The sequence below is a fragment of the Homo sapiens genome, chromosome 11, assembly GCF_000001405.40.
Source record: "Homo sapiens chromosome 11, GRCh38.p14 Primary Assembly".
Lineage (NCBI taxonomy): Eukaryota > Metazoa > Chordata > Mammalia > Primates > Hominidae > Homo > Homo sapiens.
The window spans coordinates 61364574-61377860 of record NC_000011.10 but is presented as its reverse complement, the minus strand read 5'-3'; the positions used below and the strand labels follow the sequence as shown (position 1 = coordinate 61377860).

General features: G+C 44.9%; 1 protein-coding gene across 11 annotated transcripts in view, besides 1 other annotated feature; it reads right to left on the bottom strand.

The window, feature by feature from the left end:
* Positions 991-13287, bottom strand: part of TMEM138 (transmembrane protein 138) — a 14497-nt gene continuing 2200 nt past the window's right edge. For 3 of the 11 annotated variants that reach the window (NR_028473.2, NM_016464.5, NM_001330281.2), the window contains 3 exons: positions 11645-11816; positions 9863-9938; positions 8352-9264 (listed from right to left, as the gene is read on the bottom strand). Coding sequence is in view for 8 of the 11 variants with exons in the window: in NM_016464.5 (NP_057548.1) it covers positions 9152-9264; positions 9863-9938; positions 11645-11816 (361 nt within the window). In the remaining 3 variants the exon portion in view is untranslated. Of the gene's footprint in view, positions 2667-4454; positions 4819-8351; positions 10434-11644; positions 11817-13287 lie in introns of those variants that run through there. The other 8 variants (XR_007062486.1, NM_001441181.1, NM_001410998.1 and 5 more) reach the window with 8 other exon arrangements.
* Positions 7830-8089: an enhancer, noted in NCBI's record as "active region_4797". NCBI's record gives its function as "activates an Ori minimal core promoter by ATAC-STARR-seq in GM12878 lymphoblastoid cells {active_cell/tissue: GM12878}" and the evidence as "EXISTENCE:reporter gene assay evidence [ECO:0000049][PMID:35858748]".

Here is a 13287-nt window from a genome sequence, read left to right as displayed (position 1 = left end):
AAGGAAAGAACTCTAGAATAGCCAGATGGAAGACATGCACAGGGCAATGTATAGAAAACAGCCAGGAAGCTTCCATGTCCTCCCTGGTGTAGACCAAAAGTAATATTCTAAGTCCCCCAAAAGACTGAATGAACCCTCCTCTCGGCCAAGGGGATTCCAAACTAAACCTGAAAGACTAGTTCAGGTCATGATTGGAAGGGGTGTTTGGACATGCTTCATTATACTGTCCTCCCTTTGGAATTCAGGCACATCTGACCAGTGTGAAAGGAAAATAAATCTTGGATCGCCAAGTGAGTGTGAACCCAGAAAATTTGAGACAGGTCTCAGTTAATTTAGAAAGTGTATTTTGCCAGGTTGAGAACACGTGCCTGTAACAACACAGCCTCAGGAGGTCCTGACAATATGTGCTCAAGGTGGTCAGAGCACAGTTTGGTTTTATACATTTTAGGGAGACATGAGACATCAATCAGTATGTGTAAGATGTACATTGGTTTGGTCCAGAAAGGTGGGACTACTCTAAGCAGGGGAGTGGACTTCCAGGTCATAGGTAGATAAGAGATAACCAATTACATTCTTTTGAGTTTCTGATTAGCCTTTCACTGAAGGCACAATTTACATGCAAGAGGAGGGTAGAGGAATAGTCACGTATGCCTTAGTCTGGCTCAGTGAAACAATATGGCGGGACAACTCGAAGCAGGGAGGGGCTTACAGGTCACAGGTAAACTAGAGACAAATGGATGCATTCTTTTGAGTTTCTCATGAATGCATCTCTAAAGGAGGCAATCAGATATGCATTTGTCTCAGTGAGCAGAGCAGTGACTTTGATTAGAATGGGAGGCAAGCTTGCCCCAAGCAGTTCCCAGCTTGACTTTTGCCTTTAGCTGAGTGATTTGGGGGCCCAAGATATTTTCCTTTCACATTTCCTCCCCTTTCTTTTTAAAAATCTTTTAGAGAAAGCATTTTAGAAAAAAATGAGTCTCTTGTCTCATGTTTTATCTTATCTCTCATGGCTAGGATGGTTTATTTCTAGACGAGTAGGTCCTGAGTTATTAGGAAAACTCATTTTTAGAAGGTTGTGAAGTGTCATGTCCCATAAAGACAAAATAGGGGGAGGAAGGGAGAACAACAACAAACAAAAGAACAATCCTGGAAAATTGCTATAAGCCACATTACTCTGAAGTCCATACATCGGTAGGCAGGTATGAAAGTGGCTTATGTATGTAAATAGGTTGCTGTTATTTTTCTTCTGAAGTTGTCTAGATTCAGTTTGCAGGGCTTTATGAAAGCACAGCTTAGTTTTCAGTGACTCCAAATTGGAAAAAAATGGAAAAAAGAAGAAAAAAATGAAAACATTATTTTGAAGACTTGTAGTCAAGAAAAATTAGAATTCGGTCCAAACTGTAGAAAATAATAAAATTGAAAAACATTAGGCAAGACAAGAATCTAACAACAGGTGTGCTATAGTTTTTGAAACAATTTTTCTCTTTCCAGTTTTCCATTATTTTTTTTTTTGAGACAGAGTCTTGCTCTGTCATCCAGGCTGGAGTGCAGTGGCGTGATCTCAGTTCACTGCAACCTCCACCTCCTGGGTTCAAGTGATTATCCCACCTCAGCCTCCTGAGTAGCTGGAATTACAGGCATGCACCATCACACCTGGCTACATTTTGTATTTTTAGTAGGGATGGGGTTTCACCATGTTGGCCAGGCTGGTGTTGAATTCCTGACCTCAGGTGATCCGCCTGCCTTGGCCTCTCAAAGTGCTAGGATTATAGGCATGAGCTACCGCATCTGGCCGAATAATTATTTTTTACATAGGCTTTTAAATTGGCTTTGATGAAACTTTGTTCCATAGAAAGAATCTCAGATAAGACTTTTTAAAAGCCGAGCCCAGCCGTGGATTTGTGCCATCAAATACCTATGAATTGCATGATCCTCTCCTCTTGAGGTTCCAAGATAAACTTGGGACTCCTGGGCCTGTCAGAAAGTGACGTGCTTTACTTGCCACAGGTCAGAAACCTTGGACAGCGGCTGTGTGGACAAAGGTATGGGGCCAGTTTTTCCAAGGGGCTTTTATTGGCTCCATAAAGTCAAATTTGATTGCTTAAAGGAAAGCACACCATTCCAGTAAAAGCCTTGGTAAAATAACCAGTTTCTCCAATTGTGTCCTGTTACAAACGAAAACAGATTCTTATTGCACTTATGCAAATAACAGTATTGTCATAAGTTAAGAATACTCACAGCTGGGTGGAGTGGCTAATGCCTGTAATCCCAGCACTTTGGGAGGCTGAGGTGGGTGGATCGCCTGAGGTCAGGAGTTTGAGACCAGCCTGGCCAACATAGTGAAACACCATCTCTACTAAAAATACAAAAATTAGCCAGGCATGGTGGCGCATGCCTGTAGTCCCAGCTACTTGGGAGGCTGAGGCAGGAGAATGGTTTGAACCTGCGAGTCAGAGGTTGTGGTGAGCTGAGATCACACCACTGCACTCCAGCCTGGGCAAAAAGAGTGAAACTCCATCTCAAAAAAAAAAAAAAAAAAAAAAGAATACTCACAAATAATCTCCAAATTCTGGAGAAATCAGAGAAAAACAAATATGCTGCAAATTTTGTTCATAGGAGTATACTCAATTGTTAAAGCTATAAATAGCTTAAAAGTTTTCTTGACTCTGAAAAACAAAACACAGGATCAGCAACATTTTAAGTGTAAAGTTAAAAAGATCACTTCAGACACCTATTAGTTTAGTCCATGCAATTAATTCCTGTTCTGCTTCATTTTTCATGAACATTTCAGTTCTCCATGAGTCGTGAAAGTTTTTCCTCTATTCTGATGTGACAGTCTCTAAAGTTATCAGAAACCTTATTCAGGGGCACCTATTAGAGTTTGTTTGTTTGTTTGTTTGTTTTTGAGATGGAGTCTAGCTCTGACACCAGGCTGAAGTTCAGTGGCGCGATCTCAGCTCACTGCAGCCTCCGCCTCCCAGGTTCAAGCAATTCTCCTGCCTCAGCCTCCTGAGTAGCTGAATAGCTGGGATTACAGGCACCTGCCACCACGCCCAGCTAATTTTTGTATTTTTAGTAGAGACAGGGTTTCACCTTGTTGGCCAGGATGGTTCTCAATCTCCTGACATCATGATCTGCCCACCTTGGCCTCCCAAAGTGCTGGAATTACAGGTGTGAGTCACCACGCCTGGCCTAGAGTTTTATAGCTGATTATAAAACCACCTTCTAAAGAGGACCAAAGCAAAACAACAATTGTCCATGGATGACAAAATGTTTTAGGGCAGCTATAGTCAAAGACAAAACTGACAAGGAAATTTGTTACCTCTGTGGCACATAATAATTTAACATAACAGTTATAATTATTACCGATAATGTACATTAAGTCATATCAGAATTATAGGAGTTTCCAGGGCCAGTGGCAGTGGCTCGTACCTGTAATCCCAGTACTTTGGGAGGCTGAGACAGGTGGATCACCCAAGCTCAGGAGTTTGAGACCAGCCTAGCCAACATGGTGAAATCCTGTCTTTACTAAAAAAAATACAAAAATTAGCTGGGTGTGGTGGTGGGTGCCTGTAATCCCAGCTACTTGGGAGGCTGATGCAGGAGAATTGCTTGAACCCGGGACGCAGAGTTTCCAGTGAGCTGAGATCATGCCAATGTACTTCAGCCTAGGTGACAGAGCGAAACTCTGTCTCAAAAAAAAAAAAAAAAAAAAAAGGACTGGGCGCAGTGGCTCAGGCCTGTAATCCCAGAACTTTGGGAGGCCGAGGTGGATGGATCACCTGAGCTCAGGAGTTTGAGACCAGCATGGCCAACATGGCGAAACCCCATCTCTACTAAAAATACAAAAATTAGCCGGGTGTGTTGGCAGGCATCTGTAATCCCAGCTACTTGGGAGCCTGAGGCAGGAGAATTGCTTGAACCAGGAGGCGGAGGCTGCAGTGAGCCAGGATTGCACCACTGCACTACTCCAGCCTGGACGACAAGAGTGAGACTCCATCTTTAAAAAAAAAAAAAATAAAAAATAAAAAATAATTATAGGAGTCTCCCATAATTTTGGAACACATCCAACAGCATATTTATACAAATACAGCCCAAAGAAAACCAAACACCATTTTATATTTGACAATGTTTCCTGTATAATTTTTATACCAAGTAAGCCAAATATGTCATTTTTGGACTTTAGGGAACCTATTAATAATATGTTAAAGGATTAATTAGGTCTGAAAAAGACATTATTTATAATTTGATTTTGGAACATTTCTCAAATATCAAAGGTTATCACAGGCCATTGTTAAATAAGTCATTCATTTAACCAGTGATAACTCAAGGATTTCAAAAAAAAAAAAAGGTAAAAACCTTCATTCTTTGAGAGAGGAGACTTAATTTTCCAAACAATAAGCCCTAATAAAAACAGCATGAAGCCAATTAAATATAACTTCCATAAGCCTTTATAACTTTTATAACCTTTATTAAGGAGTCAGTTACTGCTTCAAGAAAACCTTGTTAATCTGACACAGAGGCCCATATGCTGGTCTTGCTTCAGTGTGCCTTTGACATTAATGATTAATTTATAGGGAAACTGAACTTATTTTATCTCTCAAAATCAGCCTTTACAATCTCATCTGTCCGCCTCTTTCTTGATAGTCCCTGGGCCTTGAGGAGTTGAATAGCTTTGATTTTCCAGCCCCGTGCTTCAGGAATGAAGTTTATTTTGATTGGCATCTTCTACCGGGCGTGAAGATGGGGCTTTAATTGCCGTCAGTGTTTAACATTTAGCAGGACTTGCTGTCCTTCTTAGACCCAGGAATCAAAGCCCTGTAACTCAATGTTGCAAGTATTTTAAAAGCGCATATAGACAGATAAACAGATGTAATAACCTTAATTAAAAACTTTTTTTTTAATCTGTTTTTTTCCTAGGCAAACCAAACTTAATGTGACAACTTGATTATATAAAAGTTTTTGGCTTTAAAAAAAAAAAGTAAATTCTCTTATTGTAACTTACACAGACTGTTAATGAAATGCTTGGACTTGCTGGTTTGTCCTGAACAATCCCTCTTTCTTTCTTTTTTTTTTGAAACAGAGTCTCACTCTGTTGCCACACTGGAGTGCAACGGTGTGACCTCAGCTCACTGCAAGCTCCACCTCCCAGGTTCACACCATTCTTCTGCCTCAGCCTCCCGAGTAGCTGGGACTACAGGTGCCTGCCACCACGCCTGCCTAATTTTTTTGTATTTTTTTTAGTACAGACGGGGTTTCACCATGTTAGCCAGGATGGTCTCGATCTCCTGACTTCACGATCCCCCCGCCTTCGCCTCCCAAAGTGCTGGGATTACAGGCGTGAGCCACCGCACCCAGCTTTTTTTTTTTTTTTTTTGAGAAAGAATGTTTTCCGGCTGGGCACGGTGGTGCACGCCTGCAATCCCAGCAACTCAGGAGGCTGAGGCAGGAGAATCATTTAAACCCAAGAGGCAGAGGTTGCAGTGAGCTGAGATCATGCCATTGCACTCCAGCCTGGGAGACAGAGTGAGACTCCATCTCAAAAACAAAACAAAACCAAGAACCTTGCCTTCTATACCCTCTCATGATCTTAACTGCAAACATTTCTGTGGACTTCAACACTTTAGGTAGAATTGAATACTTCAATTCTTTAGGCAGAATTTAACTTTTTTTTTTTTTTTTTCTGAGACAGAGTCTTGCTCTGTTGCCCAGGCTGGAGGGCAGTGGTACAATCTTGGCTCACTGCAACCTCTGCCTCCCAGGTTCAAGCAATTCTCCTGCCTCAGCCTCCTGAGTAGCTGGGATTACACGCATGTGCCACCACACCTGCCTAATTTTTGTATTCTTAGCAGAGACAGGGTTTCACCACGTTGGCCAGGCTGGTCCTGAACTCTTGACCTCGTGATCCACCCCACCTCGACCTCCCAAAGTGCTGGGATTACAGGTGTGAGCCACTGTGCCCGGCCCAAATTTAACCCTTTCAACCAGTTGCCAATCAGAAATCTTTAAATCCACCTGACTTGCAAGGCTTCCCCTTTTGAGATGTCCTGCCTTTCTGGGCAAAATCAATGTACACCTTGCGTCTATTGATTTATGTCTCTGATTGTAACTTCTGTCCCCCTAAAATACATAAAATCAAGCTGTAACCCAACCATCTTGGGCACGTGTTCTCAGGACCTCCTGGGGCTTTGTCATGGATTATTGTCCTCACATTGGCTCAGAATAATACATCTCTTCAAGTATTTTAGAGTTCGGCTTTCTTTTTCATCAATACAAGCATCATCAGTGTGAAATCTAACAAACTCTTACTTTAGGAGCTAGACTTAGATTGCAGGCAGACCTGAAGTAAGAATTGGCATGTCCTTGTTTTATAGGACATCTTGAAAGGGTTCAAAGCCAGCACAGAACAATTTCTGAGGGCAGTCATCTAAGGATGCCTGAGGCTTTTTTCCTTTCCCTGGGGGTGTGGGGTCGGCCTAAGGCATAATGCTTTGACAAAAGGCTGTGAAGTAACAGAAATTCATTTGGGGCTGGGAATGGTGGCTCAGTCCTGTAATCCCAGCACTTTGGGAGGCCGAGGGGGGCAGATCACAAGGTCAGGAGATCGAGACCATCCTGGCCAACATGGTGAAGTCCCATCTCTACTAAAAATACAAAAATTAGCTGGGCGTGGCGGCACGTGCCTATAATCCCAGCTACTGGGAAGGCTGAGGCAGGAGAATCACTTGAACCCAGGAGGCGGAAGTTGTAGTGAGCTGAGATCGCACCACTGCACACCAGCCTGGTGACAGAGCTAGACTCCATCTCAAAATAAAATAAAATAAATTCATTTATTTGGGAGAGGGGGGCGGTGTTGCGTGACTCAGTCTCCAGGCTTAACTTTCCCTTTGGCATAATGAGTTTGGGGGTCCTGAGATGTTTGGGGGCCCCCAGCTGAGGTCACTGCAGGCTAGCCAACTGCCAATGGATCCCAAGGCCATCACAGCTGCCTAGCTGACCTGCAGCTGACACATGAGCGAGCCCAGCTGAAACCACCCACACTTTCCCGTTTCCTATGTATCCTATAGTCTATGGAAGCTTTCATGCTTCAGTGTCGTGGTTAAGTGGTTGTACCCTCAAGACCTCGAATATTTACTATCTGACCCTTCTTAAAAAAAGCTTGGCGACCCTGCCAAAGCATCTCTGAAGAACAAGTTTCACAGAGCAGCTCTCTGGTGTGAGAGACTGGGTGAATTAATGGCCCCCATTCTTTACTCTCTCTGTATCCATGCCTTTGCCCTTGAAAATTTGTAGTGCTTTTGAGACAGAGTAGAGACAGGGTGTGGCTTCAGCTCACCCCCACTACAGCATCCTTTCATGCATCCCCACTGACCACAAAACCCACCCCTCTACCTTGCTGATGTATCCACTATCATCAACGCTTTAGTCATACAAAGAAAATCGCCATTTTGTATTCATCTTCTGTGCTCTCACAATGTTTAACCAGGCCTTTTACTTAAAGAATTCCAGGAACTGGCCTTAGGAGGTCCAAAATATCAAACCAACATTGTGTGTGGACTGTCCCTCCTCAGGAAAGAATACAGATTTGCTGCCATTGGCTAGACTACCTGGTGGTCCATTATTCAAGATAACCCTTACAACCAGATGCTGACCTGCACACCCTACCCTCACGTGCTTTGTCCAGCCCAGCCTGCCTACCCTACCCGAGGTCAATTCCAGTGCTTTGCCTAAGAGAAAAATCCCTGCAGGCTTTGTTTGGAGTCAGTCAGGGAACTCTCTCTTTGACTTGTGTTGTGTCTCTTATGCCCAGGCATAAGCTCCAATGAAGCCTTGTCGGCAAATTCTTTTAGCCTCATGTCAATTTCTATAGCAATGAGAGTCTAAGAACTTGTGGTTGGTAACCGTTTGCCACTTTGTTTCTGGGCTTAGTTGCGTGACTTGCCTTGATCAACAGGAGTCTAGGAGACACAAGACAAGCACAGGCTTGAAATGGGGTTGCATACTGGGACTTTCCCGCTCTGCCACTGGCGTGTGAGCAGATCCAGGCTAGTCTGTGGGAAGTAAATCTGCAAACTAGAGCTGAGTAACCACAGTCACTCCAGCTGAGGTCAATGAAGGCTAGCCAACTGCCAGTGGATCCCAAGGCCATCGCAGCTGCCTAGCTGACCTGCAGCTGACAGACACAAGAGTGAGCCCAGATGAAACCACCCACACACAGCCTTGATCAGCTGAACCCCAAGACAAAGAGCCAGGCAGCTGTTGATTGCTGTATGCCCCTGAACTTTGGTGGTGGAGTTACACAATATTCTGGCAATAGAAAACTGATACTACGGACATAAGAATTTTAAAAATTTCTTTTGCCAAAGCTGGCTAAGGGAATATTTTTATTCTTCTGAGGGCAGTTAAGGCTTCTGATAAGGAAAGAGAGTCTGAACAGAGCACACACATCTGGAGCTCCAGGAGTGGGGGATGCAGCATCAGATTCCATCTTGAATTTCTGCTAAAATACTTTGTACTCATAATGGATCTCAACAAAGATCTGTATTTCATCTGTGGCTCCATCTTCCCTCTGGGTCAAGTAGATGTTAAGCTGGACCTTGGCACGCCTCTTAACATGAAGAGATCTAGCTAGACAGACAGACTCCCCCATTTATGGAACAAGAATTCAATTTATTCTCTATTTATAAAACATTTTTTTAAAGTGCCTTGGGTATAAAAATCTAAATGTCTGCGGTGTGATCAGTCAGGAGCACGTAACTATCACTCTTCGCATCCTTTGGTCACTGGGAGATCCTTTGGGGGCTGGGAGGTCCTTCTGTCCCAGGCTAAAGGAAAAGCTTCACAAGGGTAAGAGCCACAGAACCCTCGGCAAGAAAGGCCGGTCAGGGAGAATGAATGGTACAGAGAGGAAAGGAAGGAAAGGGGGTGGAACAGAGGTAGAAGGCAAGGAAGGGATGCCGCACTGGAGACCGATGGGGACACTCTAATTGTGCAAGAGGGAGGATCTTCCTTCTTGAATGCTGAACACAGCTAGTCTGAACCTTCCTTGGAAAGTCCAGCTGTTTGCCCATGCATAGGGCCAACTCTCCCTGCAAAGCAGCAAATGTGGCTTCTATCAGGAAGGAAAAGTATCCATCAGTGTGACAAGAGGTCACCTTCGAACTTGCATGAACTCCTTGCGCAGCCACAAAGAGTCCTGGTAGAAGTGAGGATCGCCTAGTCTTACGGCTGTCCGTTTATAGAAGTAGCAGTACAACACTGCTGCTGTGGGGAGGAAGCAGAAGAGAAGCCTCAGGGGTGCTCCTGAGTATCATTTCAGGTTAAGAACAGAACCTGGCCAGGCGTGGTGGCTCACGCCTGTAATCCCAGCACTTTAGGAGGCAGAGGCAGGCGGATCATGAGGTCAGAGATCGAGACCATCCTGGCTAACACGGTGAAACCCTGTCTCTACTAAAAATACACAAAAAATTAGCTGGGCGTGGTGGCGGGCGCCTGTAGTCCCAGCTACTCCGGAGGCTGAGGCAGGAGAATGGTGTGAACCCGGGAGGCGGAGCTTGCAGTGAGCCTGAGATAGCGCCACAGCACTCCAGCCTGGGCGACAGAGCAAGACTGTCTCAAAAACAAACAAACAAACAAACAAACAAACAAAAAGAACAGAACCTAATGAGGCTGGGCAGCCCTGCCTCCTCATTTCCCATAGTCTTCTAGCAAGGGCAGGGGCAGTAATCCCTCCTGTTCCTGGTGTGGCTGTCACAACCATCCCAAGCCAGCTGGGACAGGTCTGGGAAGCCAGCATCAAGGCCCTCACTGAAAGAGACACATGTGGGACCTGAGAGAGGCCTGACCTTGCTCTGGTCCTTACCTAGTCTCTGGAATACAAACAGCATTTGAAGTCCATCTGTCCATATGAAGCTGTTGGAGTTTTTCCAGCGTAAGTTCTGAAGGAGATGTGAGATACACAAAAGTTAATGGCCACAAGAAGCCCTAATGTCTCCAACTTGGTTAGCTGCAGAGATGCCAGTTGCTTTAAAATCATGCTAACCTCTTCCTCCTTTCTACAACCCCAAGGAGCGTTTCTCGAAGGAGCCTCAAAGCTCCATTTTTCGCTGCAAAGGGAATATCTTTTAACTTTGAGGGAGGAAGTATGAACTAAGTTATTTATTCTCTTTAATTCCATAACCTTTGCCAAGGAGAAATGATATATTCATTATCTCAGGAGTTCAGCTGGTCACTGTCTTGCCTTGAAAAATCGCTGGCTCAGCTCCTGTCAGATAAAGACTTTGGTGTACTCAGGGTTTAATGAGATTAACGGCTTTTATAGTACAAAGCCAGGACCTATTTTGGCTCCAGGAACCAGGGCACAGAATCCTCTTCAGGAAGCACCCGGAGACTCTGGTGTTGCTTTGCTTCTTTCCTGGGACCTCTACTTCTTTCTGTGGAATCACAAGCACAACCTAACAGGGGGTTCAGGTGTGAAAGTGGCTTTAATAATGAAGTGACAACTAGAGAACCCTGAGGTTTTAGAGTTCAATTGAATTGAGTACATGAGAAATATACAAGATACTCAAAGAGCTGGAAGAATTTGTGAAGCAGAAGAAATCTGAAACCACAGACACTGGATCTGATCTGAGGCCTATGTTAGAACCAAAGGGAGGGATCCTGGAGGCCGGTTCTCCTAGTTAAAGTGATGGGAGCTTGGCAGACGGCATGGAGCACTCAAGGGCAAGCAGCAATCCTGCTTGGCTACTTCCAAAAACATCCACTGCCTACAGCATTAGCCATGGGGCACTGATGCCTAAGAATAACCTGTATCAACATCCACCTGCCCAAATAGCTAATGATGAGACACATTCAACTACCTGTTTTAGCCCTGGTAGGCCTGTTTGGGGCAAAGGTGAATTGAATGTTCTGGAAGAGTCCCCTGACTCTTGGACAAGGCTGTTTTTCAACACATAAGGTTGGTCAAGAGTACCTTATGAAACTCTCACATGCCCAGGGCTCCAACCCAAACCACTTTCATTTCACCTGTTCTCTACGAAGGATTGTGTGAGATGTCAAAGAATGAAGCTGGGTTCCCAGAGAAAAGATATCCCAGTGGCCGGGCGCAGTAGCTCACGCCTGTAATCCTAGCACTTCAGAGGCCGAGGCAGGAGGATCACGAGGTCAAGAGATTGAGACCATCCCGGCCAACATGGTGAAACCCAGTCTCTACTAAAAACACAAAAATTAGCTGGGCGTGGTGGTGCGTGCCTGTAATCCCAGGTACTCAGGAGACTGAGGGAGGAGAATTGCTTGAACCCAGGAAGCGGAGGTTGCAGTGAGCTGAGATCACGCCACTGCACTCCAGCCAGGCGACAGAGCGAGACTCTGTCTCAAAAAAAAAAAAAAAGAAAAGAAAAGAAAAGAAAAGTTATTCCTAGCCCTTTAGCGATTCAGGAATTCAGAGTTCAGGCCGGGCACAGTGACTCATGCCTGTAATTCCAGCACTTTGGGAGGCAGAAGCAGGAGAATTGCTTGAGCTTGGGAGGCAGAAGCAGGAGAATTGCTTGAGCTCAGGAGTTTGAGACCAGCCTTGGTAACAAAGTAAGACCCCACCTCTATTTAAAATAAAAATTAAAAAAAGAATTCAGACTGCCACTCTTACCATGACCCAGACATGAAGGGAGATGCTGAGGGCAAAGTACACAGCTGTCAGGATGATGGTCCCTTTGAACTTATGGAATAGGAGGTTGACCAGGCCAGCCTGGAAGACGAAGGTGTTGAAGAACATGAGGAAAATGATGATGATGTTGAAGAGGACTGCAATATCCTGGATGCTGTAGACATAAAAAAAAGTACAACCAATGAAGGCCTGTGTGAGGACCCAAGAGCAGGTACTATGTCCTGAGGGACACCACGAGGCCTGTCCTTTGTTGTGAGATAGGCATCTGACATCTTAAACCCTCACAGAGATAACATGGGTTTTGGGACCTGAATGACATGAAGCTAAAATTACCTAAAATTACCCACTGGCCCCATCAGTTGGGTTTGCAGTCCATAGTCAAGGCTTTCCTGCTCTAATACTCTTTTTTATTTTTAAAATTTCTTCCATACATAGTCCTATAGAAGATTCTCTGATACTCCTTATTTTTCGAGACAGGGTTTCATTCTGTTGCCCAGACTGGAGTGCAGTGGTATGATCACAGCTCACTGCAGCAACTTCCTGGGCTCAAGTGATCCTCCCGCCTCACCCTCCTGAGTAGCTGTGACCACAGGTGTGTGCCACTATACTCAGCTAATTAAAAAAAAAATTAGCTCATGCCTGTAATCCCAGCACTTTGGGAGGCCGAGGTGGGCAGATCACTTGAGGTCAAGAGTTTGAGACCAGCCTGGCCAACATGGCAAAACCCCGTCTCTACTAAAAATACAAAAAGTAGCTGGGTGTGGTAAATACATAGTGGGGTGTGGTAGCGCACACCTATAATCCCAGCTACTAGGGAGGCTGAGGCAGGAGAATTGCTTGAACCCAGGGGGCGGAGGTTGCAGTGAGCTGAGATTGTGCCACTGTACTCCAGCCTGGCGACACAGCTAGACTCCATCTCAAAAAAAAAAAAATAAAATTATGTTTTAATAGAAACAAGGTCTCACTATGTTGCCCAGGCTATCTGACACTCTTAAACATTTTTTTTTTTTTGAGATGGAGTCTTGTTCTGTCGCCCAGGCTGGAGTGCAGTGGCATGATCATGGCTCACTGCAACCTCTGCCTCCCAGGTTCAAGTGATTCTCCTGCCTCAGCCTCCCAAGAAGCTGGGATTACAGGCATGCACCACCACGCCCATCTAATTTTTGTATTTTTAGTAGAGATGGGGTTTCTCCATGTTGGTCAGACTGGTCCCGAATTCCCGACCTCAGGTGATCTGCCCACCTTGGCCTCCCAAAGTGTTGGGATTACAAGCGTGAACCACCACACCTGGCTTTTTTTTTTTTTTTTTGAGATAGGGTCTTTGTCACCTGGTTGGAGTGCAGTGGCATGATCATGGCTCACTGTAGCCTTGAACTCCTGGGCTTAAGCAATCCTTCCACGTCAGCATCCTGAATCACTGCGATTACAGGTGTGTGGCACCATGCCTAGCTAATTTTAAAAATTTTTAGTAGGTAGAGACAGGGTCTTGCTATGTTGCCTAGGCTGGTCCTCAAACTCCCAGCCTCAAAAGATCCTCCTGCCTTGGCTTCCCAAAGTCCTGGGATTATGGGTGTGAGCCACCGTACCCAGCCTACTAATAACTTTAAGACACTAAATCACCACTG